General features: G+C 41.6%; 1 protein-coding gene and 1 long non-coding RNA gene across 5 annotated transcripts in view, besides 2 other annotated features; one reads left to right on the forward strand and one right to left on the reverse strand.

Moving 5' to 3' along the window:
* The window catches only part of PHACTR2 (phosphatase and actin regulator 2), a 294,308-nt gene that overhangs the window by 11,842 nt on the left and 255,147 nt on the right, over nt 1-27,319 (forward strand). The window lies entirely within an intron of this gene.
* Nucleotides 972-1,061: an enhancer, noted in NCBI's record as "active region_25203". NCBI's record gives its function as "activates an Ori minimal core promoter by ATAC-STARR-seq in GM12878 lymphoblastoid cells {active_cell/tissue: GM12878}" and the evidence as "EXISTENCE:reporter gene assay evidence [ECO:0000049][PMID:35858748]".
* PHACTR2-AS1 (PHACTR2 antisense RNA 1) lies at nt 5,396-20,620 on the reverse strand. Of its 4 annotated transcripts, NR_110148.1 has the most exons (5): nt 13,166-13,332; nt 12,448-12,749; nt 9,280-9,412; nt 8,812-9,022; nt 5,396-6,511 (listed from the first exon to the last, which is right to left on the reverse strand). It is a non-coding gene; the product is annotated as a PHACTR2 antisense RNA 1 (long non-coding RNA). The 4 variants fall into 4 exon arrangements; NR_027113.2 differs by lacking the exons at nt 8,812-9,022; nt 12,448-12,749; nt 13,166-13,332 and adding an exon at nt 20,141-20,620; NR_110149.1 differs by lacking the exons at nt 8,812-9,022; nt 12,448-12,749 and having other exon boundaries at nt 13,111-13,332.
* Nucleotides 26,734-26,783: a silencer, noted in NCBI's record as "silent region_17630". NCBI's record gives its function as "represses an Ori minimal core promoter by ATAC-STARR-seq in GM12878 lymphoblastoid cells {active_cell/tissue: GM12878}" and the evidence as "EXISTENCE:reporter gene assay evidence [ECO:0000049][PMID:35858748]".

The raw sequence follows: 27,319 nt of genomic DNA on the forward strand, positions 1-27,319 counted from the left end.
GTAAGAAATTGCAGGGCTTCTGGGAAGCCTACGTGTCACAGAGAAAAGCCTAATGTCTTTTAGGTAAGAAAGAAAGGAAAGAGTAGAGTAAGAAAACTATGTGAAATAAGGAAGCATTTTTTTAACATAACAAAGTGGATGTTTCATTGCACCATAGGTGTTTTAGAGTTGTGGGGGAAACAAGCAAGAATGAGGCATGTTCCTAGGGAACAACAAGATAAGAATAGGAAGGATGATGGAAATCATTGGCTGGGGTGAGGTGGGGGCACCTGTGGCTTGAGGAGTATAAAGAGTACAGGGAAGAAGGCTTGGCCATGAAGACAGGCATTCTCTCCCCCCGACCCAGATTGACATGGTGCCTGATCTCCTCCCCAGCGAACATGCCAGTCTGTAGGGTGCACATTTCCACAGAGCTGTCTGGGCCCCTTTGGTTTCCATTCAAGGCAGCCCTCAGTGGTCATTTAACCAGATCTCCTCATTCCTTCAGGAAGATTAATAGTGGGCCTCACATGGCAGATCAGGCCTAGGTCTCTTCCCAAATGGAACAATATGGTAGTGAGGCCAGTTCAAACCCTTGCTTTCTGGGGATTACGTCCCCAAGGGTGACCCTGGATTCAGAGGCCTGCTCGGGGTGCGGGATGGCATTCCTTTGGCTTAATCTGATGAAACATTTCTCAGCAAGGGTTTAGAGTTTGCATGAGGTCACATGTGATTATCCAGATCTGGATTTATTGTTTTTTTATGGGGGTGACTGCTCCTTAGGCAGCTGACACATTCTCAGAAGGCCGGCCACAGGCAATGGCAAGATGAGAATGTTTGCCCAAGCCCAGGAACCTGCTGGGGGGTACTCAGCAGCTGCTAAGCAGCTATGGAGGGAGAAAGGTGTTTTGAAATTTCTGGTGCTGAAAAACCTGCCTTGTACATTAAAATCTGTAAGCAAATGTCCCTGTTCCACCTCCCCTTCCTGAGCTGCCTGGCTGCCACTCCTCCCTTCTTCTGCACACGCCTACTTTAACAGTTGCTCATTGAGCCTTCTTCTAAGGCTTCCCTTGATGTTCATGTTTGCAGGCCCTCACCTGTGTTAAAGTCATGCTTAGGAGTGGGGGTGGGGTGTCTCGGTATGATTCAGCCGGTCCCTGGCCTCAACAAGCAAGCTCTTAATCCTAGGTTGTGGTTTTCAGCCATGATCACTTTGCTGCACTGTTAATAGACAATAGGCAACAAAGGCACACCACAAAGGATGAAAACTGAGAGTCCCGGTCAGCTTACACCAGAAAGTGCCAAGGCTACCATTTTTTGCTAGGTGGGAGTTGGAGTGATATCCCAATGCATCAGTGGACTACTCAAATCAAACGTAATGGCCTGCTGACCAGAGCTCCCACTCTGAGTTCACATATGAGTAGATGACAGAGTCGTATTATCTAATGTAGCATTTCTCATATCTAATGTAGACTTTCTCATACACATTCTAACATAGGAATCACCCGGGGATCTTGTTGAAATGCAGTAGGTTTTGAGTGGGAATTGAGCTTGTGCACTTTCTAACAGGCTTCTAAGTTTTGCTGACGCTGCTGGTCCTCGGACCACACTTCAAGGGAAGCAAGTCTGTATGGAGAGCTTTTAATGGGCCTGTCAACTATTTTAAGGACTGATTCCTTATAGCACTGATGTACCTCAACATCCCATCCATGGAAACTTCCATGCTACTTAAAAGTCTACTCTTGCTTTCCTGTTTGGCAAACCTTACTATATATTATCTATATAGTAAATAATGGGCGGAGGGTGTCATGCTTTTTCATGAAGTTTTTTGATGAAGTATCTAAACTAATCCACGCTTTGAAGGATCTAGAGAGAGAGCATGGCTTTAGAACTTTTACCTACAAAAAATATTTTGCTTCAAGAGTGTCCATATGAATTGGCTTCTGGGACTTTCTCTGAAAAACCTCTAGTGTCCAGTGTCTAGAGGACTGTACAATTAAGAGGCGGGAATAGATTTAAAAAAACAAACAACAACAAAAACAAACAAACAAAGATTAGGGGCGAGTGCGGTGGCTCACGCCTGTAATCCTAGCACTTTAGGAGGCCTAGGAGGGCAGATCATTTGAGCCCAGGGGTTCGAGATCAGCCTGGGCAACATGGTGAAACCCCATCTCTAGAAAAAATACAAAAATTAGCTGAGTGTGGTGGCATGTGTCTGTAGTCCCAGCTACTTGGGAACTGAGGCAGGAGGATCACTTGAGCCTGGGAGGTTGAGACTACATGAACCATGATTGCACCACTGCACTCCAGCCTGGGTGACAAAGTGAAATCCTGTCTCCAACAACAAACAAAAAGACAACAAAAAAAAACCCCAAAGACTAACACATTTTATTCACAGAAAACTCAAATCCATTCTTTAAGGTGACATTACCCAAAACATGAAAAGACAAGAGTAGAAGATGGATATACAGCAGTCCCCCCTTATCTATGGGGGATTCATTCCAAGACACCTAGTAGATGCCCGAAACCTGCAGATAGCAACTGCTGAACCCTGTGTATACACTGTATTTTTTTCCATTCATACATACCTATGATAGAGTTTAATTTTAAAATTAGGTACAGTAAGGACAACAATAACTAATAATTATAATGTAAGAAGTATGTGAATGTGTTCTCTCACTCTCAAAATACCTTACTTCACTGTGGAAAGTAAAACCTCAGATAAGTGTGGATTACTGTGGACTTTTGAAAAGTTTTACAATTGTGAAGCATTTTTAATTCTTCATTTCTCAGTGTCTGTTGTGCCTTTTGTAGACTAGAAAAAGGTAAGGCTGAACAAGATGAGCTGGGTTTCTCAACACCCGGACCAGGGCTGTGATGATAGGAACAGGAAGGAAGGGAGACCTTGGGAACTATTGCTTCTATGGGTTGAACATAGGGACCTCCTTCTAGGGAGACTAAAGATGCTGAGATACACCTTAGTATCAGAGTGTCGGTGGCGGCAATGATAATTATGAAGATGTTGGAAAATAGGGTTGAGGCTGCAATAAGAAGATATGTTAATTTTGTTATCTGTGGTTGATATTATAATACCCATTGAAAATGCCCTGTAGAAGAGAGAAATGTAATAATGGGGGGAGGCTAAGCTCTAAATGGAGAACTTTGACTTGCTGGTTGGATTAATAATGTGACCATTTATTATTGCCTTGGGTATCACTGGAATTTTCCTACATAGCTTTGTTCACATGAAAAATTAAAGTTTACTGCATAGTGCTTGCTTAATAATTTGTTCAGCAAGCAATATGCAATAAACTTTAACTTTTCATGTGAGTATAGACTGTCTCCCTCTCTTCGAGTTCACTTTGAGTAGTAGACTTTTGTAATCTCAATGGTGCCTCATCCATAGTAGTTGTTTATAAGGCATTTGTTGGAAAGCGACTGATTATACTTGGGAGTATTTGTAGTCACCTGAAAATAGTGAGAAGCCACAGCTGGAAAAAAAAAATTAGAAGTCTAGGGAAGAAAGAGTGTGGTGAGGGAGGTTAATGGCCCCCAGCTCACCTAAGAGAACCTAAAGAATAAAAACTGAAAGGACATCTTCAGATTGCATCTGAAGGAAGTCACTGGAATTCACAGCCAAAGCATTTCTGATGAAGTTCTAAGAATGAAAACCCAGAGAGTCACTGAGGGAGTAGGAGTTGAAGGGAAGTTTAAGGAGCAAAACCACAAATGGAAATAAAGGGCAGGGAAGCAGGGAAATAACAACAACCAACAAGAAAAGTTCCTGTGAAGCAAGTACTCTTCACCCAGTACCTTTCAATAATCTTTCATTAACATGATCTTCTGTGCTCAGACATGTCTGTTTATGGATAATATTAAGCATGTAGTAGATGGTGCTCTATCAGAATTAAAAAAAAATTGAAGGCTGGATGCGGTGGCTCATACCTATAATCCCAGCACTTTGGAAGGCCAAGGCAGGTGGATCACTTGAGGTCAGGAGTTTGAGACTAGCCTGGCCAACATGGTGAAACCCTGTCTCTACTAAAAATACAAAAATGAGCCGGGCATGGTGGTGGGTAGTCCCAGGTACTCAGGAGGTTGAGGCCAGAGAATTGCAGAGGTTGCAGTGAGCCAAGATCGTGCCACTGCACTCCAGCCTTGGCAACTGAGCAAGACTCCATCTCAAAAAGAAAAAAAAAAAAAAAAAAAAGCAAAAAACTAACCAACCAACCGAACAAACCAAAAAACACATTGAAGAAACCTTTAGGAAAACCGGCATGATCTCTGATGTCCAGCTGCCTGTCACTTGCCAGGTATTTAAGGAGTGAAATGAGCAATGATGTTTCATCCAGATGCTTAAACATGCTTATCCCAGCCCAGAAGTGTGGCTGAGGGGCTAAAACCCATGCACCACTCTTGACCCATCAACAAGGTTCAGCAAGTATTTACTGAGTCTCTATTATGTGCCAGTGAGAAAACAAAAATCCAGCTCATAGAGACTGCAGTATAGTGAGGGTGTCAAAGATAAAGCTGGAAACTAAAGTGGCAAGGAGAGATTTTAATGAGTGATAGACTATTGCTATAGAGAACTATTCAGTGTGAACTGAACAACTTCAATTTGTACAGAAGTGACTGTGCATTTTAAAGAGAGAATGAAGGAGTATAGAGGGAGGTGAACAGAGGTTCAGTAAATTCACGGAAGTGAAAATATCATACAAACCAGGAAGAGGGGAGTTGGTGCATGTAAACCCAGCTGGGTTTGTTAACTGGTGCTTATGGAAGTCAGGCTCCCACCCTCCCACAGAGGCTGGAGACAGGAGCCCCATCTTCAGATGTTAGATGAACAAACAGTAAATTATTTTGACAGTTTTGAGTTTTCTCAGACAGGCACTTTAAGGTGAGTTAAGGTCATTCTAGAGATGCAGGCCTTGAGCTGTTAGAAACTGTATTCATGTTTTATTCGAGTCTCTATAGGCTGAGGTTGAGGCCTAGTTGAGAAGAGGGCTCAGGGGAGCTGACTAGAGTTTGATCAAGAAAAGAGTCTTGCTGGGAGACAGAGACAATACACAAACTAAATAAACAATATTAGATGGTGATTACAAAGCAGAGGAAGGGTATAGGTCGTGCCGGGGTGAAGGTGTGCAGATTGCAACCTTAAGTATGGCAACCAAGGCAGGCCCCACTGAGAAGGTGGCATTTGAAGAAAGGCCTGAGAGAAGTTAAGGGGTGATCCTTCCAGGCAGAGAGAAGAGCAAGGGCAAAGGCCCCAAGGAACAGAAAAGAATCCCGGGTTGGGCCCCTGTAGACCACCGCAATGACGTTGACATTTTCTCTGAGTGAGACTGGGGATCCAGTGGCGGGGGCGCTGGGCAGAGGGGCATCATGTTTTTTGATACAAATGTAGAAAGCAAAGTTTGGGAGATAACTATTTCATTCATATCAATATCAACTTAGGAGTGAATCCACAGTATGCAGGGCTATGGTGTCTGCTTCTTCTCAGGAAGGGACAGTAACTAGCCAATTGATGGAGATTTTAACATTACGTGGAAGTAGCTAAACTAATTGAAGACATTTAAAAATGTCTTTACCTCCAACAATTTGCTGTTAAAAAATTATTCGATGACACTTGTTCAAGCACGGTAAGGCAGGTTTTATTTAGGACCATTGCAATAGGTATAGGGACCACTGCTATCGATTTTGTAGTCGGGGAGTGGGATTGGGCTCAACTCTGAATGTAACAGGGAAAATAACTTATAGCCAAGGAGCAGTGTATCTTGCTCCTTGGCTATAAATTACAAGTGGGTGTCAGTGGATGGAAAATTACTAAAAGGAAACGTCAGCGTTAGAGCAGTCTTGCTGAAGACAGGACAGGATGATCAGCCCTCACCTGAGGAAAGGTGAAGGGCTAAGGAACTCGATTGAGGGTGGGAGTTCTCGGTAAACCAATTTAGCAGGGCTTTTGTTAAAACTGTATTTTACGAGGAAGTGCCCAGATGGGCCTAGAAGATCCAGGAGCCTGACTAAAGCTTGGTCACTCAAATAATCTTTGTCACTGCCAGTCTAAGAGGTCAAAAGTGTAATTTTGTCTTTCCCTGATTACTATTGAACCTAGGAAATATTTTATATTATTAGCCATTTGCATTTTCTTTCTCTGTGGTCTTCCCAGTACATATCCTTTGCCCTTTGTTCCTGTTGCATTATTTTCTTAACTCTTGGTGTGTTGAGTTGATAAATAATCCTTTGTGGTATATACATTGGAAGTATTTTTCTGCTATTTGGTTTTCTTTCATTTTGTTCTTAGGACGTTTTGTTACTCAGGAACAAATCCAGTTTTGATGTGTGAAGGTGTGTGTTTCCATACACATACGGAGGATTTACAAATATGCTGTAGATGTCTGTATTTGCTTTGAAATGCCCTTCAATAAAAACCATCCCAGCTTCTGTGATTCTTATCTTCCCTTTTTAGTGTGGGAGGCTTCCTGCTTTGCTTTGTCTGCACATTTACGTCGAGCCTGCCGAGCTTAATTTTAACCTGGGGAAAAATACAGAAGAGAAGCTATTTTCAGTCAGGTCATATTACTGAGAACACCTGTGAAATTCAGGATATTTTCTTGGGGGTAAGTTAAAATGTAGGACGCCACCTTGCCTGAAGCACATTTCTATTGTGGTTGCTGTACAAATTGGGAGGTGTTACTTGGAGCCAAAAACCTTATCACTTTCACACCAGCACTGCTTCTAAGTTGCATGCCTCCAACCCTCAATCCTTGGTATTAATTCTGAAACAACTAGTATAACCATCTGTTGAAAAGTTCTGTGGGAAAAAAAGGGGTCTTTGTGGCCTGTGTTATTCACTTCCCTGATGATCAACACAGAAATATTTTACATTTTGGTTATCAGTCTATTTTTTCCTGCTTTTCCTCTTGCTCCAGTTTGCCTTCCTAAATGTCTGGCCATAGGCAAATAAAATATACCCCCACCCTAGATGATTATGGTGTCAAAATTCCCTTAATCACACAGTAGCCCCAGCCAGCTGTTTGAGTAATATTTTTCCTACCTCATCGTGTGAATTGTCTTATTGTTTTGGTGAAATGTTGACGCTACCACCTACTCTCATCCTCCCACCTCCATTTGCAGATAAAATCTAATTATCACCTCAGGATGGTTTCTTGACATACAATATAATCACCACCGACACAAAAGAATTTAGGGCACTATGACATTTAGCTTTTTTTTTTTTTTTAAAGACTGTTGTTCAAAAAAATGATCCTTTTAAATTTGCTATTTCACAATTAATTTTTTTAAAAAGAAACAGAAAAAAAACAAAAAGAAAAGAGACCAAACCTTTTACTCTTAGTAATTAATCTATTTGTAGTGTTACATTGAAGGTAGTAGCAGAAGGGACAGTGAAAACTCATGATGGTTAAGAAATTAACAAAGGAGCATGCTTTTAGGACTTCAGGCAGGGATCATTACTAAAGTCCCTAGCTTTGATTAGAATTTTGTGATACCAGCTACTGTATAATTCGGCCCCAGTTCATTTCAGACTTTCTTCCTTAAATTCATTTATTTATTTCAGGACATTAAGGTATGGACTTTAGGTGTGGGGCATCTCCAATGCTCCTGCGTGCCAGGCACAAGGCGTGGGCCAGGAGAGTGAATATCTGGTGGAGGGAGGTGAGGAATACAGGAAGTAGTGCATTTTACTAAATGGAGAAAACATTGAAGGCAGCCAGCTTGATAGAATCATCAAAAATAAAAATTGAGGCATATAACAAAACCAGAAAGTACATTCATAACTCCGTATGTCAAACTAGAGAGAGGAAAGTGAAAAAGATGAGAAAAAATATTTTGAGAAAAGTTGACTAGCTCCTCTGCAGTGACAGCATTCAAAAAATCAATCTAAACGCAGCCCTAGAGCAGCAATTCAGCTTCCCAGCTTGGAGGACTCTAGGTTTGAAGCTTTCAGCTGCTATCAGATTTGAACCTCTCAGCTCACAGGGTGCTAACTAGAGGAGAAGGAAGACGTACATCACCACAGGACCACAGCGACGCATCACCATGGAATTTTCAGACTCAACGCACTGGCCACACCATGGGGTCCAATTGCTGCCATTTAGAAAAGCATGCTTTTAAAGTGTGTCATTTAAGAGTAAGTATTCTTTTTTAAAAATATGGGCCAGGAACTAATAAAAATGATGCACAAAGACGTGAGAAGATATGCTGCCTGTCTGTCCTCCTCCCTCAGAGAGACCACATTTCCTTTTGAAACAAAAATGAGGCCAGAAAGAAAGGGCCTCCCTCCCTAACCCCAGCCTCAGTTAGAGAGGGCCACAGGAGCTCGCCTACCATCTCTCTCCAAAATATGTTCTCCATGTGGTTCGGCAAGAGGATTCACTTGGTTTGACAAACTTTTCCCTTTGAAGAGTAAACACTTCCTGAAGGGTTAAAGGCCAGGTAATGGCCATTCACATTATTTTGCAAGTAAGTTACTTTAATCATCATCATCACTAGTATTGCAGAGAAGTTTAAAAGGATTCTCATCTCTCAACCATATTTCATCCTCATAACCTTTTGAATCCAGTGGGACTTTTATTTGCCCCATTTCACAGATGGGGAAAGTGGAGAGGGAGGTAAATCATCTTGGGTCATACAGCCAGTAAGTGCAGAGGCAGAATTTAAAGCCAAGTCTTCTGAGTCCAAGTTCAGGGCTGCTGCCGTAACCCCATTCGTTGCACTCCCACATTTGCTGGAACTGGAGCTTTGGGTGGGATTGGGGAAGGAGGGAAGAGAAGGTCTGGAAGTGTTGGAGGTGGCATGGGCAGGGAGGTATACCTTCCTGCTAAGATGGCTCACCCTCACCACACAGGGTCTCGATTTTTCGAGAACTGACCGGACCATGTGGACCTGGTCCAGCTCTTCCAGACTCTTCCACACTCCAGTCGTTTTTCCTTGGCTGACTTCTTTCTCCGTAAGGTCTTGTCGCGAGTCCTAGAGGCAACCAGTTCCTTGCGTACCCCACCCTCCTTCGTCAGCATGCTGCCACCTTTGAAACACAGGCGTGTTGTTTCTTTTGCCTGAACCCCAATAGAAATGTAAAAGTTGACACCTTGTCAGTGGGAAGCGAAGTCAGGTCATGTTCTTGAAGGTAAAATTAGGCCAGGGTTCTACGGAATAAGCTGGAACCATCTTCCATGAGAATTGTGCTTTTTTTCCCCCTTTGCTTTGTTTTGTTTTCTCATTCCTGCCTCAGCAATACCCTTGAAGGATGGATGGGATCCTTCATGTCCAGGTGTACCTCACCTGCTTCAGGAGACACCAGACTGAACTCTTTCTCTCTGACGTTCTCCTTGGGTCCATCCCACATGCTGCCTGGGAGCTTCTTCCTTGTCACCTAAGGTCCCTTATGTCTTCATTTTTGCCCTGGATCCAGCGCCTATAGATGGAAAGAGATTTATAAGAAACACTGCACAATCAAAATATATGGACTTTGTTTGAATTCTTATTCAAAGTGTAAGAAAAAAAAGTTATCCTGGATATATTTGATGATATTAAGGAATTAATGTTCCTTCTTAGGTGTGAAATAATATTGTGGTTGTGTTTTAAGAAAGAGTTTTCCCCTATTTACATGTAAAAATATGATAGGAGAAAAAAGATGTCTACTTTTTTGCTTCAAAATCTTCAACTCTCCCTTTCACCTACCTCTTTCCCGTTACTATGTAAACATGTCCTATTTGCATTAGAAATATTAAATTTCTAAATTCATATGTAGTAAAACTACTAGGTTTTAAAAAAATTGAGTGTCAGATCTGTTATGAGGATGAAATTAACTGTTTCCATGTCCATTTTCATTTTTTAGGCTACATGGTGGGGAGACCAGAAAGCTCACTATTTCACTTATTCCTGTCTCCTTTGTCATTTTCTTTAGTAATATTCTGGGTAGAGAAAGGTAAGGAGTGTGTACCAATGACCTCTGTAGTGCTAAGATACATTCATGCGTTTTTCCAATGCGAGGAGGTAGAGATCGTTTTACAAAGTCGAGCTCATGCTCTTTGTTTCCCAACTGGCCTTTGAGTACAGGTACGTTAGGATTTGTAGACCTCTGAGGAGGATTTCAGGACCTTGCTGCAAACAGTGGACCAGTAATGGTGATTAGGTAGCTCGAGGGCCCCTAAACACCTCCCTGATGATTGACCAGCTGAAATGCATGTGTATGGCTTAGGCCTCTCCCATCCCCACTCCCTGGGAGAAGGGGAGATCTGTTACAAGTGCACTGAAAGGGTCTCTCCAGACACTTGACAATCAGAAGCAGATATGGTAGCTTTTAGCCCCCTCGGCCCATCTTTGACTTCTGCTACCCATGTGGTTGGGCTGTACCCAGTAAGAAACCACCTCATCTTCAATGGTCGTGAAGATTTCCTGGAATGAGATCAAGGCTTTCCCCTGCTATAATATATAGATGACTCTTCCAATAGAGCAAGTGCCTTCATGCTCCGCTCCTTTGGGGTAGCTTTGGATTTTGGCTGGAATGTTCTCATTACTGACATCTGCTTTTAATTTGCATATGATCAAGCAGGTCAGCCCCAACTGCATCTCTCAGGCTATTAAGAATTCAGAGGCAGAATCCCCTGAATGTGATGTGAGACCAGGCTGTTTCAAAATCGTCACTGATCCTACTGAGGAAATATCAGGAGAAAGGAAGGAGAGGAAGAAGCAGAGGATTCATGAGTTATTTATTAGTTTGTGATGCTACATATATCAATGGTAACCCTATCCTGACATCTCTCCCTCCTACCTCCACTCCTAATTCTTTCTGGATCTGAAGTGGAAAGAGACAATGAAGGAAGGAACTGAATATAATTCATTCATGAGCATGTAAGATAACCCCTTCTCCTCTTCCCTCTCTTATTCTGCCATGTAACAAATATTGTTAAGTATACCAGTTATTTTCTAATACTAGAAATATCAATAAAAATACCAGTGATTTTTCTTTTCTTTTTTTTTTTTTTTTTTTTTTTTTTTTTTTTTTTTGGAGACAGAGTTTTGCTCTTGTTTTCCAGGCTGGAGTGCAATGGTGTGATCTCGGCTCACTGCAACCTCTGCTTCCCAGGTTCAATCGATTCTCCTGCCTCAGCCTCCCAAGTAGCTGGGGTTACAGGCATGCACCATCACACCTAGCTAATTTTTGTATTTTTAGTAGAGACGGGGTTTCTCCATGTTGATCAGGCTGGTCTTGAAATCCCAACCTCAGGTAATCCACCTGCCTGGGCCTCCCAAAGGGCTGGGATTACAGGTGTGAGCCACCGTGCCCAGCTGTTATTTTTCAATACTAAAACAAAAATTGAGAGTAGGGGTTATGAGGATTGTTATGAAAACATAAGTTGTAAATTTCTTGCACATTTGGGAGTTGTTTCGGGAAAACAGAAAGTTGGTGTTTTTAAAACATTTTTAGTAATAATTGTATGGTGTTATTTATGAAAAAATAATTCACTAGGTTTTAAAAATTAAAATCTGTCCTTAATTAAATAACTCAGTACTCACAGAAAGGATTTTGAAGAAAAGTGTCTTGTAGAATTTCTGTCTTTACAAACAGAGCCCTGCAGTTGCAATGGATTGATCTAATCAGTCAATTCATTGATTAGAAACTGAACCAAGTATTTGATTCTGTATCTTTAAATTAGTCTAATTCATCCATAATCCATGTGATTTACTGGTAGCAAGTTAAAAATGACAAGAAACCCAGCCTAGTTTGTGGCAACTGTCTTGAGCTCTTCCACTTTGATTCTACCATTTACCCACTCATTCATTTAATCAGCTCTGAATGAGACTCTACTATGTGGACAGCAATGAGTAAGATACCATTAGTTGCTGTGTCTGGGTGCTTATTTTGGTGTAAACAGACCTTTGACTAGTTCATTTAGGTTACATTTCAACATAATGTAATATGGGCTATAGTAGGAGGGAGACCTGACCTAGACTGGGATTGCCAAGAGAGGTCACCCAGAGGAGGTATTGGATACCTAAGCTGTCATGAAGGATCCAGTAGGTGCTCGCTGGGGAGGGAGCGGAACTTGTTCCAGCCAAGGGTAGCAGCTTGGGTGCACAGATGAGAGGGCATATAAGGACTTTATTTTGGGAAATAGTGAGGAACTCTGGGGGATTGGGATATAAAATGCAAAGCAGAGGGGTGTGTGTGTGTGTGTGTGTGTGTGTGTGTGTGTGTGTGTGTGTTAGGTAGGAGAGTTGGAGGAGGGTAATGTCAAGAGTTGACAGGAGTTCTAGGCTTAGAACCAGCAAGGACTCTGGGGGGCTTTAAGTAATAAACTGGCCAGACTCCTGAAGCTGGCTGCTGGGCTGGGCTGATTAGTCTTAGGACAAGATAGGCTTCACTGGCTGCCAGCCTGGGCCAGGCCCCACACACCTCAAACACAAGCAGGGATTGAAGGAGAGGAAGATGCAGTAGGCACTGACCTTCTGACCTTGGCGGGATGCTTGAACCATTCTGCCCTTTCAGAAGGTTCTGCCCCTCTGAGCTCATTTCCCCTCCTCACCCTGTGATGACAGTCTTAGCACTCAAGATGTGGTGACCTGTCGGGAAGCGGGGGCAGGGGCCTGCTGTCTCCTTTTTAACTCGGTCTCCAGAGCCCAGAAGATTAGGTTGTTGCTCAATGTTTGTTGAATGAATAACTGAATGTGAGAAGTTGTTGGAGAAGAACGTTCAGGAAGAAATTTTGTGGTGATCACCACCCAGGTCCTGTGGTTGAAGTCTCAGCCTTTTGGAGGAAGGCGTTGCAAGGTTAATACGGGCTGGTATACAGGGTTGCTGTGGGCCCAGAGTGCAGGGGAGATGCCTGGTCCCCTCCTCCAGTCAGTCCTCCCTGGAGCTGGGCATAGTGAAGTCTCTGGGGAGGGCAGCACCCACAGGCTCTGGCCTGGCCTCTGCATTCCCACAGAAGTAGTGGTGAGAGGAGTCAAGTTACCACGTGACCTTGAATGAAAGACGTTTGAGGGGAGTGGAAGGACAGGAATGGAGACTCCCAAACTCATGGGGACAGCTTTGCTGAGTACCAGAAGGCCAGTAAGTAAGGCAGTGAGCCAGGGAGAGCTGGGTTATTACTGCTTGTGTGATCTCACCCTTCACCGCCAGCTCATGAAGTCTGAGGAAATTCAGGTTGCCTTTGATATTAACCTCCATGAAGACTATCACTGATTGAATGATAGCCTTCGGTTACTCTCTGTTCTCCAAATACATCCTCTCTTTTTGCCCCATGTCTTGACATGAGTGGTTCCTTTGCTTGGAGGGCCTCCTGTCTCTTCTTCATCTGACGCAGAGCTTCTGCTCATTCTTCAAAACCCTAGTCAGATATTGTTACTTCACTGAAAACTCTCACCGCCAGCCAGAGTTCCTTGTTCTTCCCTTTGTGACCTCGTAGCCTTGTCACAGTGCTCTCTGTTGTGTTGGAATAATCTGTTTACTTGATGTATTAGGCCATTCTTGCACTGCTATGAATAAATACCTGAGACTGGGTAATTTAGAAAGAAAAGAGGTTTAATTAGCTCACAGTTCTGCAGGCTGTACAGGAAGCACGGTGCTGGCATCTGCTTGGCCTCCCCAGGCCTCAGGAAGTTTACAATGAGGCTGGAAAGCAAAGGGGAAGCAGGCCCGTCACATGGCCAGAGCAGGAGCAAGACAGCCAGAGACTGGGTTGGAGGTGCCACTTACTTTTAAGTGACCAGGTCTCACGAGAACTCACTCACTATTGCAAAGACAGCACCAAGCCATGAGGAATCTGCTCCCATGACGCAAACACCTCCCACCAGGCCCCACCTCCAGCACTGGGGATTACAATTTAACATAAGATTTGGGTGGGGACAAATATCCAAACTATATCACTTGACTGCCTCTCCAGTGTGACTCTGAGTTTCAAGGGTAATAATCCTGTCTTAAAATTTATGTATATACAATTCATGCCACAGACTCTCATTGTGAAAGAAAAAAGCACATTAAAGAACATATCTAAGGCATTGGAAATAGATCATCCACAGTTATTCCTAAAAGGTAATGAGTAGTTGAATTAACAAAATATGGTATTTATGTACATGAGTATTATCCAGCCATAAAGAGGAACATATGCTGCAACATGGCTTGAAAACATTCTGCTCAATGAAATAAGCCAGACACAGATGGATAAATATTGTATGATTCCACGTAGAGGATTTACCTAGAATAGGCAAATTCCTAGAGATAGAAAATAGAGTATAAGCTTCTAGGGGCTGGAGGAAAGGGGAGAAAAGGAGTTATTGTTTAACAGGTTTGGAGTTTCTGTTTGGGTTGATGAAAAGTTCTGGAAACAGTGGTGAATGTACGTAATGCCACTAAATTGCACACATAAAAATGGTTGATGTAGTAAATTTTATTTTAAGTATTTTTTACCACAATTCTTTTTTTAAAAAAAGCAACAAGAAGGGAAGAAACAACTGAAAAAATTAGCAGTAAAGTGTTCCAATGACCCAAATGCAGAGAGTAGTTCAAAAGTATGTAAACCAGTTACGTGTGAGACAGGGCACTATAGGCTTTTTATCAAGAGAAGAAACCCGGGGGCTCAAGCCTGTACTCCCAGCACTTTGAGAGGCCGAGGTGGGTGGATCACGAGGTCAGCAGATCGAGACCATCCTTGCGAACATGGTGAAACCGCATCTCTACGAAAAATTAAGCCAGGCATGGTGGCACACACCTGTAGTTCCAGGTACTCAGGAGGCTGAGGCAGGAGAATTATTTGAACCCGGGAGGTGGAGATTGCAGTGAGCCAAGATCGCGCCACTGCACTCCAGCCTGGGCGACACAAACTCCGTCTCAAAAAAAAAAAAAAAAAAAAGAAGAAACCCTGTGTTCTTTCTCTTGACATAGTGTTTAGGGAATCAGTAAGATTCCATCAACATAAGCATCATATTCTCTTATTTTTCTGCAAAATCATCAGCAGCAAGTGCTTTTTCCTAACATTAAAATATATTTATTCTGGCTGCGCACGGTGGCTCATGCCTGTAATCCCAGCACTTTGGGAGGACAAGGCAGGTGGATCACTTGAGCTTGAGAGTTCAAGACCAGCCTGGGCAACATGGTGAAACCCTGTCTCTACAAAAAAAAAAAAATACAAAAAATTAGCAGGGTGTGGTGGCGCACACCTGTGGTCCCAGCTATTTGGGAGGTTGAGGTGGGAGGATTGCTGGAACCCTTGAGGTCGAGGCTGCATTGAGCTGAGATCGTGTCACTGCACTCTAGTCTGGGTGACAGAGTGAGATCCTGTCTCAAATAAATAAATAATTGAAAGTTAATTATACTTCTGTCTATGGAATTTTTTACTTCACATAAGCTGAGAGAAGTCAAACTTGGGTTATTGAAATGCTTTAGAAAATTGTTAAACTGTTTACTTTTTTAAGTTTTTAGTCTGTCTTAGTTATATGTGTGTGTGCATATATGTGTGTGTGTATGTGTGTGTGTGCATATATATATATATATATATATATATATATATATATATATGTATGCCACTGCACTCTAACCTTGGCAACAGAGTGAGAACCTGTCTCTAAAAAATAGTAAAAAATAAGTTAATAATAAAATAAGTTGGCCAGGTGCAGTGGCTCATGCCTGTAATCACAGCACTTTGCAAGGCTGAGACACATAATAATGCCCAAGAGTAAAAATTAAGTAAACAGTTATAACATGATTAGTCATTTTATTTATTTTATTTTGCTGGATTGGAGTCTGCTGTTATATCATATAAAACATTTGCTAGGATTTTGTATTTTTAACACCCATGCACATTTATGGGAATTCATTAGAGGGGGAAGCCTGGATTTAAAATTTCCCTCCATGAAACAGTTAAAGATCAAGAGGTGAATCGTGTGGGATATGAAGCATGTCATGGCTGAGCTGCTGACGAGGCCTCGGCTGTGCTTTGCATCATGTAAGGGCTCAGCACCCTGAGAAGGTGCCTGGTAAATGCCACTGGCTGATCGGACGGCAGTTCTCGGAAGGCCTGCTGATCAGAAACAGAGCCTTTGGCAGAATCTCAATGGCAAAGTCACAAACAGTAACAGTCCCTAAAATAACAACTGCAACCTCAGCAAAATGAAAACCTTCTATGTGGGAGGTATAATGGGAAATGTATTGATTGGTATTTTTCTCCAGATACATGAATAGTGATCACAAGTAGAGATGCTCCCCTTTTCTACAAAGGAAAAGGTGTAAAACATTGGTTTTACAATGTAGGAAAACCAATAAAATGGTGGTATAAAACATTGATCACCATCAGCAGATTCTTCTAGCAAGAATGGCAGTTCAAGCCAATAGATATGTTTCATGAATTTTGTGGTTGCAAGTGGCTGGAATGGAATGAAAATCAGCTTTCACGAATCCATTCTCTCATTCTTCTCATTTTAATGAGCACCTACTGCATGCTAGGCATTGTTCTAGGTATGTGCAGGATATCAGCGAGCCTAGCCAAGATTAAATTCTCTCTGCTCAGATACAGAAAATAAGGGATACACATCATACAAAAATACATAATATGTTAGAAAGTGGAAAAAGTAAGTAGAAAAAAGAAAAAGTACAGCAGCAAGGGAAATTCAAGAGTGCCAGGCCGGGCGCGGTGGCTCACGCCTGTAATCCCGGCACTTTGGGAGTCCAAGGTGGGCGGATCACGAGGTCAGGAGATCGAGACCATCCTGGCTAACACGGTGAAACCCCGTCTCTACTAAAAATACAAAAAATTAGCCGGGCGTGGTGGTGGGCGCTACACGGGAAGCTGAGGCAGGAGAATGGCGTGAACCCGGGAGGCGGAGCTTGCAGTGAGCCAAGATCGCGCCACTGCACTCCAGCCTGGGTGACAGAGCGAGACTCCGTCTCAAAAAAAAAAAAAAAAAAAGAGTGCCAAAAAATGGTGGGCATGGAGCAGGGGCATTAGGTGGGCAGAGGCAGCTCTGCTGAGATGGTGATAAGTGAACAGAGTCCTGGAGCAGAAAACCAGTGGATGATGGGGGAAGAGCATTCCGGGTAAAGGAGGTAGGAGGGCCCCAGAATGGAGCCTGCCAAGCTGGATCTGGGCCTATGGTTGCTGCAGGGTGGAGTGAGGGCAGGGTCTTGCGGGCTTTCACTTTGGGCGGGAAGGGGAGTCTGCGCAGGGTCCTGAGCAGAGGAGTGAACTGACCTACAGATAATTTTTAAAAAGCATTCACTTTGCTGCTGTGTTGGAAATAGAGGGTAGGGGCATGGGCAGGGTGGAAGTCAGGAGGCTTGTGGGGGGTTATCCTTAGGTCCCAATGAGACACAGTGAAGGGCTGATCACCAGCCTCCAACTTCTGGGCTCAAGCAATCCTCCCGCCTTAGCTTTCTGAGTAGCTAGGCCTTCTGGTGCACATCATGCCCTGCTAATTTTTCTATTTTTTTGTAGAGATGGCATCTCGCTATGTTGCCCAAGCTGGCCTTGAACTCCAGGCCTCAAGCAATCCTCCTGCCTCAGCCTCCCAAAGTGCTGGGATTACAGGCATGAACCACTGCATCTTGCCAGTTTATTTTATTATTATCATTTATTTACTTATTTTGTATTTTTTTTTAGAGACAGGGTCTCACTCTGTTGCCAGGCTGGAGTTCAGTGGTACAATCGTAGCTCACTGCAGCCTCCAACTCCTGGGCTCAAGCCATCCTCCCACCTCAGCCTCACAAGTAGCTGGGACTACAGGCACATGCCACCATGCCCAGCTATTCTTTTGTTGTTGTTGTTGTTTTGTAGAGAAAGGGGTCTTACTGTGTTGCCCAGGCTGATGTTGAACTCCTGGCCTCAAGCAATCCTCCTACCTTGGCTTTCCAAAGTGCTTGGATTACAGATGTGAGCCACTGTGTCCAGCCATTTTTTAGTAAAACTTAAATATAAACCAAAAGTAGGTAGAATAGTCTAATGATCCCTCATGCACATGGTCCCTGTCCCTCTTACTAACTCATAGTCAAAATTGTTTCTTCCTCATGCCTATCTGCTTGCCTTCCCTAACCTCAGAATATTTTTAAATGAATTCCAGACATCATATTATTTTTCCCACAAATATTTCAGCATGTAATACTAAAGAATAAGGACTTTTCAAAAAAAAAAACCCCACAATGCCATTATCATACTAAAAAAAATTTAACATTAATAACATTAGCTAGTCAGTCAGCATTCAAATTTCCCCCATTGTCTCATCAATGAATGTTTGGATCAGGATCCGATTAAGTTTGACCCATTCCATTTGGTTCAGAATTTCCTTTTGAAGCGTCTCTGTAGATGATTTATCTAAAGCCATTAGCAGCCACACACTCAGTTCCGTGTTCCTCATCATCTACACGTCGCGCTCCTTTCTGTGTCTTTCCCAGAGCAGTGGCCTCTCTTGTCACTGTAACACTTTCACTTCTTTAATTCACTACCTCGAAGTACCAAAGTGACTTTAGCGCCCCAAGTATTCTGGAGTCATTGTGAAAGCTGCAGATGTGGTTTAAGTGTGTTTGGCTTTTGAAAACCCCCAAAAATTTAGATACGCAGCAAAATTCATGGTTCCCTCCCTCTCTCGTTCTCTCATTTAGAGAGAAGAGACACTTTCTCCTATAGTTTTCTCCATACAGGCTTTGGTCTTTGATTTTTATTATTTATTGACTTTTATTTATTTATTTATTTACTTATTTACTTATTTTGAGACAGAGTCTTGCTCTGTCATCCAGGCTGGAGTGCAGTGGCATGATCTCAGCTCACTGCAACCTCCACCTCCTGGATTCAAGTGATTCTTCTGTCTGAGCCTCCTGCGTAGCTGGAACTACAGGCACACGCCGCCGCGCCTGGTGAATTTTTGTATTTTTAATAGAGACAGGGTTTCACCATATTGGTCAGGCTGGTCTCGATCTCCTGACCTCAGGTGATCCACCTACCTCTGCCTCTCAAAGTGCTGGGATTACAGGCGTGAGCCACCGCCCCCTATCTTTGATTTTGAAATGCCAGTCTGCATCAGCTAGAACCTTCCCTACACTGGGGTACTGAGTTGAGGAATGAACTTCCCTCTGTGTTGTTTGCTCTGTGAAACTTTTGACCTGTCTGTGTAATCCTTAGATGTATCGAGGTTTAAAGTATGCTCTGAGATTTGGGAGAGAAGAGAAGGGGTTTTAAAAACAGAAGCAATTGAAGCATTGAGCGTCAAACTTTACCTCTAGAAACGTTCCAGCGATTCCCACGACTCTGTCATGCCCTGGAGAGAATTTTGGTATAGTCGCTATGCATCTTTTCACATAATTATAATCACATACGCAATTTTACCCTTTCTAAATTCACCATGATATTATAAACACTTATTTTCTGTTGTTACATATTTTCCTTTACCTTGATTTTTTTAAAAAAATCCATAATATCCAGGCCTTCTTCCTTGGAAAACAAAACCACTGAGTAGTGACACTCAAGAGTTAAGGGAACAGAATCCCAGACCTGGTTTTGCCACCAACTAGAGATACCACCAAAGGATTGTCCCCTGAGTTCCCTGAGTTTTCTCCTCCATGAAATGGGTACCATAATTCTTACTTCACAGGACTGTTACAGAGATGAGATGAATTAAGGTTATAGGGCCCTTGTAAACTCTAAATTAATATTCAAAAATAAGGTGTTAATGTCTATCTTTAGAGGCAGTAAGCAAAGCTGTAGAAACTAGGTAGTTAGTTCTCTCTGCTGATCAAGGCTATGGTACTCAAACCTTGAATCTAGAGCCCAACACTTAAGGAGGGAGAACCTGTGTGTTCAGGCTGTGCTCCAGCTGCTGGCTCAGGGTAGGGGGTCTTCCTCCCACATATAAGCAAGAGGAATCACTAAAGCAGAGTTCAAATATTCAATCCAGAAAGCAATCAGTAATGGAAGAACTGTAACTCTGGTTTCTTTATAAATGGAGCTGAGAATCCCAGGTATTTCTGATAATTTAATGAAGGTTTATGAAATTTTCTTAGTCTTCCCATGCCTTTGTATTTTGATTTTTAGAATGAATGTACTTCAAGCTTAGCACGTCCCTTATACACTGTAGGAGTATGATAGATCTATGTTGACCTGAATGAAGGTATGAGCAGAGGGGAATTATCCACGCAAGTATGGTATTATTTACTTTCCTCTTATTATTGAGCTGGTGATTCCAGTATTTCCACGGAATAGTAGATCAACAGGCACATTTCGGATTTGACTAATCAGAGCTGCAGATGTGGTCTGACAGTTCCTCTCATCCACTCAGTTCTGCTCTCTTGGTTGCTTTCTCGATTCCTATTCCCAGATATATTTCTCCCTGGAGACTGTTTTCTTCTGGACTAGTCTCTTAATCTTCCCAACCCATATTTGGAGAGATGTTTCGTGCTCACCCGTGACCATGAGAAAGTGTTGCACTTTCTGGCCTCCCTTGCAGTTAGGCAGGGCTATGTGATTGGTTCCAGCCAGTGTGGGCTGTGAGGGAAAGAGGTGTGTTACTTGTGGGCTGAGACAGTGAGAAGCTCGTGCATAATTCTCCAGGCTTTCTTTCTTCACCTCATCAACTGAGGAGACCACAAGTTCAGGAATCATAGCCACAGGATGGTGGAGCCGCCATTGGCCTCAACTCTGAGTCACCATGGCAACAGTCTCCTTGGAGAATCATGTGGCCCACAATGGACTTTATGTAATTGAGAAATCCATTTTTGTGATGTCAAGCCAATGATATCTGGGGATTATTTGTGACAGTGGCACAATTGTGTTTATTCTGACTACACATTCCATCTCTAAAATGGCCTCAGTCTGTTCTCTGATTTTAAACCTTTCTTGTATGTGGGGAGTACATCCTGAAAATTTTGATGTATTTATATTATTTAGATTATATTGCCATATTTTCCAAACTGTGGCCTACATACCACTGGTGGTATGTAGGATATTTTTATGTGGAATATAGATAGACATACCTGTTTTTTAAATATTTACATGTATAATTCTTTTCCACTTATGGCAAGTGATGTGTCTTTCCCATTCTTAGTGGTTGCATAAATGCTTCTTTTACAATAACATTGGAGAAAATGAAGTGACTTAAGGAGAAATATCCAGCAGATAAAAGTATAATTGATGTGCAGATATGGCAAAAGTCTGAGAAATGCTATTCAAATGACTGAAGATTTGGGAAGTGCTGCGTGTGATAAGTTATATGGTGGAATGTCTTAAAGAAATCTCCACCAGACCAGGAGATTTTCATTTTTGACAACCAGTTCACAGAATTCGATTCAGTAGATGTTTTTGAATGAGTAAACATTACTATAAAAAATGTTTAAATCTAGGAACCTAAATAATAAAAGTCCCAGTCCAATCCTTTGAGGTCAATTTCATTGTTTTTCTCCTTATTCTCTGCTCTTAAGAGATTCTGTTTCCCTTAAGTGTGTTAGGCTCAAATCAGATTTAACCAAAGATCAGCATTCGTGGCATCATAACATTTAAGAATTTAAAATGTGTGCATGACATTTTTAGAAATAATGATTTGCTTTGCTGATATTAAAAAACGAGGTTGCTGTTGGTCTGAGTCACAGGTGAAGCCCCATTTGTTTTTCCATTCAGCCACCCGCTGGCCCTAATCACAAATGTCTTTGTACTCACAGTCATCTTATGCAGGGTTTGTACTTCGGCTTCTCTCACTGTGCTGGAGATTAAAATGTGAGATGAGGAGTAACACACTTGCCAGTGACATGGAAGTAAATATTATTGTTTTTGGGGGGTGACATCGACTGCATTTCAAATACAGCCATGAAAATGTTCTATCAATAGCTTTCTATCGATTGGCAGTTTTGTGCCTTTTCAGTTCAGCTCCCAGAGCTGGTCCTGATGAGGTGACTGGCAACTCACCCCAGGTGTGGCAGGCCCCTCCCCACTCTCCTGGGGCTCTCCCTCTCCCCGCTTGCTCTCCTTCCCTAATCCCCACACCTTTTTATGAAGATCAGTCCTTTGCACAGCAGCCATGGCCAGCGTGAGGTGCATGTGCAAGTGGAGAAGTAGCAGGTTCATCGACTCGTTCTGGTAGGGGGCCTCTATCTTATTGAGCACACTTTTGACGGTGGAGATGCCGCTTTATTGCAAATCCCTCCCCGGACTCCTCCTCTTCTTCCAAAATTCAGGCTGAAGACAATTGCCCTGATTCCCTAACCTAAGGGATGGCTCTGCAAGTGGTGATCGATGTTTATCAAATGCCCCTGAGACTCGAAGACGCAAATTATATTCCTATTTTTCATGAAATTTAAAAAACTTTCTAATTTAAGATCATTTAACTTTTAGCTGCTGCAAAACTGGTACATGGAGTTCTCGTATACTCTTCACCTGGACTCCCCAAATGGTAATATCTTACAAAACTGTAGTACAACGATGGAAATCAAGAAGGGAATGTAGGTAAAGAGCAGTACAGTACAGTACTTCTAACTAATCTGCAGCTGTCATTCAAATTTAGCCAATTATCCCACTAACAATTATCATTGTTAGTAACAATTATCATTGCGGTGTTTGTCAGATGGTGACTTTCTAGTTATCATCCTTCTGCATTTATCAATTGGAATTCTACTACAATGAAGAGCTACCTCTTCTGAGCTATTTATTCATTCAGTTATTTATTTGTATTAGTGTGGTCTCATGGATATTTCCTTTATCCTATAATCCATTACTATCTACTTTATTTCTTTTTTTAGAGACCCTCCAGCTCTGTCACCCAGGCTGGTGCAGTGGTGCAATCATAGCTCACTGTGGCCTCAAAGTCTTGACTGAGCTCAAACAATCCTCCCACCTCAGCCTCCTGAGCAGCTGGGACTACAGGTGTGCACTGCCACACCTGGTTAATTTTTTTTAAAATTTTTTTATAGAGATGAGGTCTTGCTATGTTTCCCAGGCCGGTCAATCATCACTCATTTTGTTGCCCACATTGTTGTACAATTGGCTATCGAGAGTTTGGTACAAGTTTACTCCTGTGTCCATTTGCCATGCTCCCATCATTAAAAAAATCATTTCCTTACTTTCTGGGACCACAAGACGTTCCAGACTCATCTTGTGTTTTCTCTGTCCCTGCTTTAGAATCAGTCTTTTCTCCTATGAGCCCTGCTTTCAGTATTATTTTAATGTTAGATTTATAACGTTCTGTTCATGTTCTTGGAAAATTAATATTTACCATATGGGAGATCTCTATGTAGGAGATATTAGATATTCTTCTACCATCTACAGAACTGATTTCTTATGAAACACTGGTCCCAAAAACATGTCAGATTATGAGGAGCATAGCCTATTTTGATACATATGCTAAAAAATGGGAAGCCACACAACTAGGATTTTCACCAAAAAATCTGTTTTACTCTTTCTTGCTTCTATATTTCTTTTTAGTAGGTAACTACAGGTCCAATATCTTTTAGACTTTTTGTTGTTGTAGACTTTGTTTTTTGCTAAGAAATTCTTTTGGCCCCGTGTAAATATCTTCTGCAGTTTAGCTCCTCACTGGCTTGAATTCTCCCCTCATCATATTTTGTCCTGACACCTTCCCTCTTTGCTGAATTTTTGATAACAGCATCTCTGTTTCTCTGGATCTCATGACAATTTTCCAGTCAATCTGATCAATATATACAGCCTCAACACTGAAGTGAACCTGAAAGTTTCTTGACCAAAACTAGAGTCTAATGCCTCCATCAAATATATCCCAACTATATATTTTTTCAAAATAGAATGTGTGTGAGTGTTTGTGACTATGTGTTTATTATAGATTGATTCATACTCAAACACTAACAGTGGTTTTTTTGTTTGTTTGTTTTTTTGTTTTGTTTTGGTCATTGTGGTTGTTGTTGTTTTTGAAATGGAGAATCTCTCCATTGCCCCAGGTTGGAGTGCAGTGGCACGATCTAGGCTCATTGCAACCTCCACCTCCCGGGCTCAAGCAATCCTCATGCCTCAGCCTCCTAAGTAGCTGGGATTACAGGCACATGCCACCACACCCAGCTAATTTTTGTATTTTTGGTAGAGACACGGTTTCACCATGTTGGCCAGGCTGGTCTCAAACTCCTGACCTCAAGCAATCCACCTGCCTCTGCCTCCCAAAGTGCTGGGATTACAGGCATGAGCCACCGTGCCCAGCCAACAGTGGTTTATTTTCTTTTGAAATTCACAAATCTTACTGCTATGAATCTATTATCATCAAATTCTAAAAGCATAATGTCTTTTATCTGTGGAAGTTTGGTCATCATCAGATAAGAATCCAAAATAAAAAATGAAATGTTTTTTACTTTCTAATTTGAAATAATTCTGTCCTTACAAAACTGGCAAGACTAGTACCTAATGTTCTCATAGACCCTTCACTGGGTATATGTATAATTTTCTTATATATTGCATTTCATTGTATATTACATTCGTGATCTTCCTACTCAGAACTAGTAGGGTCATGTGGTAAACATCTGTTGAAAATGCCTTAGTGTTATATTCCTGTGGGGAAACCACCTCTAACCCACATTATCAACCATGTGATTTAGAGAGATTGACCCATTCTTTGTTCCTGGGCTTTACTTGGCTTTGGCCAGTCATCAATGGCTGCGTGCTTGGTTTAAGGGTGTGTCCTTGATCCAATTCAGGCCATCGAGATGCATGGAGACTTTCACTAGGTCTTATGGAAGTTTCTTCTCTATTCCATGGAGGTCCCTGGATGCTACATTATTATGTTTGTCATCCATGGGAGCCAGCCCAACTGTGAAGGTTAAGAGAGAAGAGCCTAGAGAATTTCTGAGCTTTGAGAATGGATGCAATTAAGCCTGAGGCCAGCCCTACCTCCAAACCAGTTTTGTGAACCCATGAATTTTCTTTCCCTCCTTTTTTTTTTTTTCTAAGTATTTTTGATTTTGGTTTTCTGTAGCTTGGAAAAGTTTCTGTTGATAACAGATCTTTTTCTGTGCATTCTATCATGTTATTTGTCCCTGTGTTGGCACTTATCTTAGTTAATTATGTGGCTGTTTTTCTTCAACTAAATTATGATGTCCTTGAAACTGTGGACTAAATCACTTACCTGCCTTTCTTATATTTGTATGGAGCTTAGTCCTTCCATTTAGCAGCACTCTGAGGGCCTAATTTCCACTAGGCCCAGAACTGGGTCTGGTTCTCCATAACTGTTTATGGAATCGTGAATTTTATTTAATATGCTACCTGTTTTCGCTTTCTATTATTGCATAGCAAATTACCACAATCCTAGTGGCTGAAACAAGTTACAGGTTCTATGGGTCAGGAGCCTGCGAGCAGCTCAGCTGGGTTCTCTGCTTAGGGTCTTGCCAGGTCACACTCAAGGTGTCAGCTGGGCTGTGTTCTCATCTGGAGCCTGACTGGGGAAGAATTTATTTTAAGCTCATTACACCTGCAGGCAGGATTCAGTTCGTGCAGCTGTGTGGCTGAGTGCCCCTGGTTTGCTGGCTGTTCACTGGAAGCTGCTAGAGGCTCTCACTGTGGGCTTCCTCAGCGTGGCTGCTCAGTTCCTCAAGGCAGGAAGGAGAATCCCGGTCTCTAGTTCACTAAGGCAGAGTCTTAGATAATGTAACATAATCACAGAGTGGTGTCCTGTTCCCTTTGCCACATTCTATCGATAAAAACAAGTCACAAGTTTCATTTACACTCAAGGCTAAGGGATTGTACAAAGGCATGGCCATTGGAGGTCTGTCCTCCATGCTACCTTAAAAGTTCCTGTTCAAAGAGTTTTCTTTAAACATAAAAGTGGGTTCAATGTCTCTCAACATTGATACCTCTCATAGTAGGCAATTAGATTTTTAAAGTTATAACTATTTTTTTTTCTACTCAGGAGTGGCATTAAGTTTGCTTGAAATTTCTTCTTATGATCACCTGTATTTTATTTAGGTTGAATCGTTTTGCAAATACTGGTAAAATGATTCCCCGGAATGTGTTTAACTTTTCAAAATACTTTTATATTCTTTTGATGGCATTAAAAAAAAAAAAGCAGTGGCTCTGAGTCAGTTATGTTGGAAATTTGATGTGAATATTTTCCAAGAGCCCAAAGGACTAAGGACTGTCTCCTATAAATATTTCATTTTTGTTCTAAATCTAACAGCTGGCCTTCTCCTCCTCTCCCCCAATTTTTTAAAAACTAAAGGCGTGGTGTAAAACAGCAACAACAACAACAACCTCCTACACTCCTTTACCCAAAGTAAAAATTAACACGTTAATAGACTTGTGAAATTTGGCCAGATTTTCCTTTATCTATACAGAATTCCTAGATGTTGACTGGCAGATTAGATTTCTCAGTATTTACTTGGCTAGTTAATTGTAACAAATAATCCATTTGGAACATAATTAAGAGATGATAAACAAAAAATAGGCAAATAAATAATCATCAACACTCCAAAAACATTTTCAGCCAGTTATTTTCTTGCATATATTTTCATGTTTTTAATGTTTTACTTTACATCTACGAATTAATTTCTCCATATTGTTTATACATAGTCTTTGAACATCATGATTTCTATCCGTGGTTCATAGTTCGATGAGATAGCTTTCTCTTTTACAAAAAGTCTTTTAAAAATAACTTACCATATTCCTATCTTTAGGTTTTAAACATCGTTTTACATAATTTGTGTACTTTTTTATAAGCACCATGTCTTAATTTTCTAGCACACCTGGAAATGTTATAATGTGACTTAGTCTTTATATGAATGATCTGTCCTTTATATTCTTGATGATGAACTATCAAAACGCCAGTTTAGAGGATGGCTTTCAGAAAGATGGACTTGGAGAAAAAGCGCTCCCTAGCTGCTGTTTTACCGTGTGGACACTAGATGGTGCAGTGGTCATACTGATCAGCCAATGTAATACTGGTAAGACACCAGAGACTTGATGTTGGTGCTTAATAGCTTCCATTGAAAAGACAGATGTACCTATAAATGTATTGTTTGAATAGTTCTCTCTCGTGAAGTACTAAAGTCCTTGAGAAGCAATATGAGATAAATTACTTTTTGTTTTTAACTATTTAATGTTTATTTATCTTCCAATCATTTTAAAACCTTTATTGAACCGTTTTGTTAAGTAAAAATCCAGTCCCTATTGGGGTAAATTGTTTGCAGAGTACAATTGATTCTTAAGTACATTAAGTCTTTCTAAGTGGACATTTGTTTTCAATTTAGAAAAAAAAAGTCTATGTTCCAGTTCTTCGAACAAATATTTTTGAAGTTTTTTAGAAACTTTTTAAGAGTTGCTGTTTTCAGCCAATAGAGCATAATCACATTTCTGGAATGAGATATATCAGACAAAGCCAATGTCCTTGACTAAATTGAATC

This window comes from Homo sapiens, chromosome 6 (assembly GCF_000001405.40).
Source record: "Homo sapiens chromosome 6, GRCh38.p14 Primary Assembly".
NCBI lineage: Eukaryota > Metazoa > Chordata > Mammalia > Primates > Hominidae > Homo > Homo sapiens.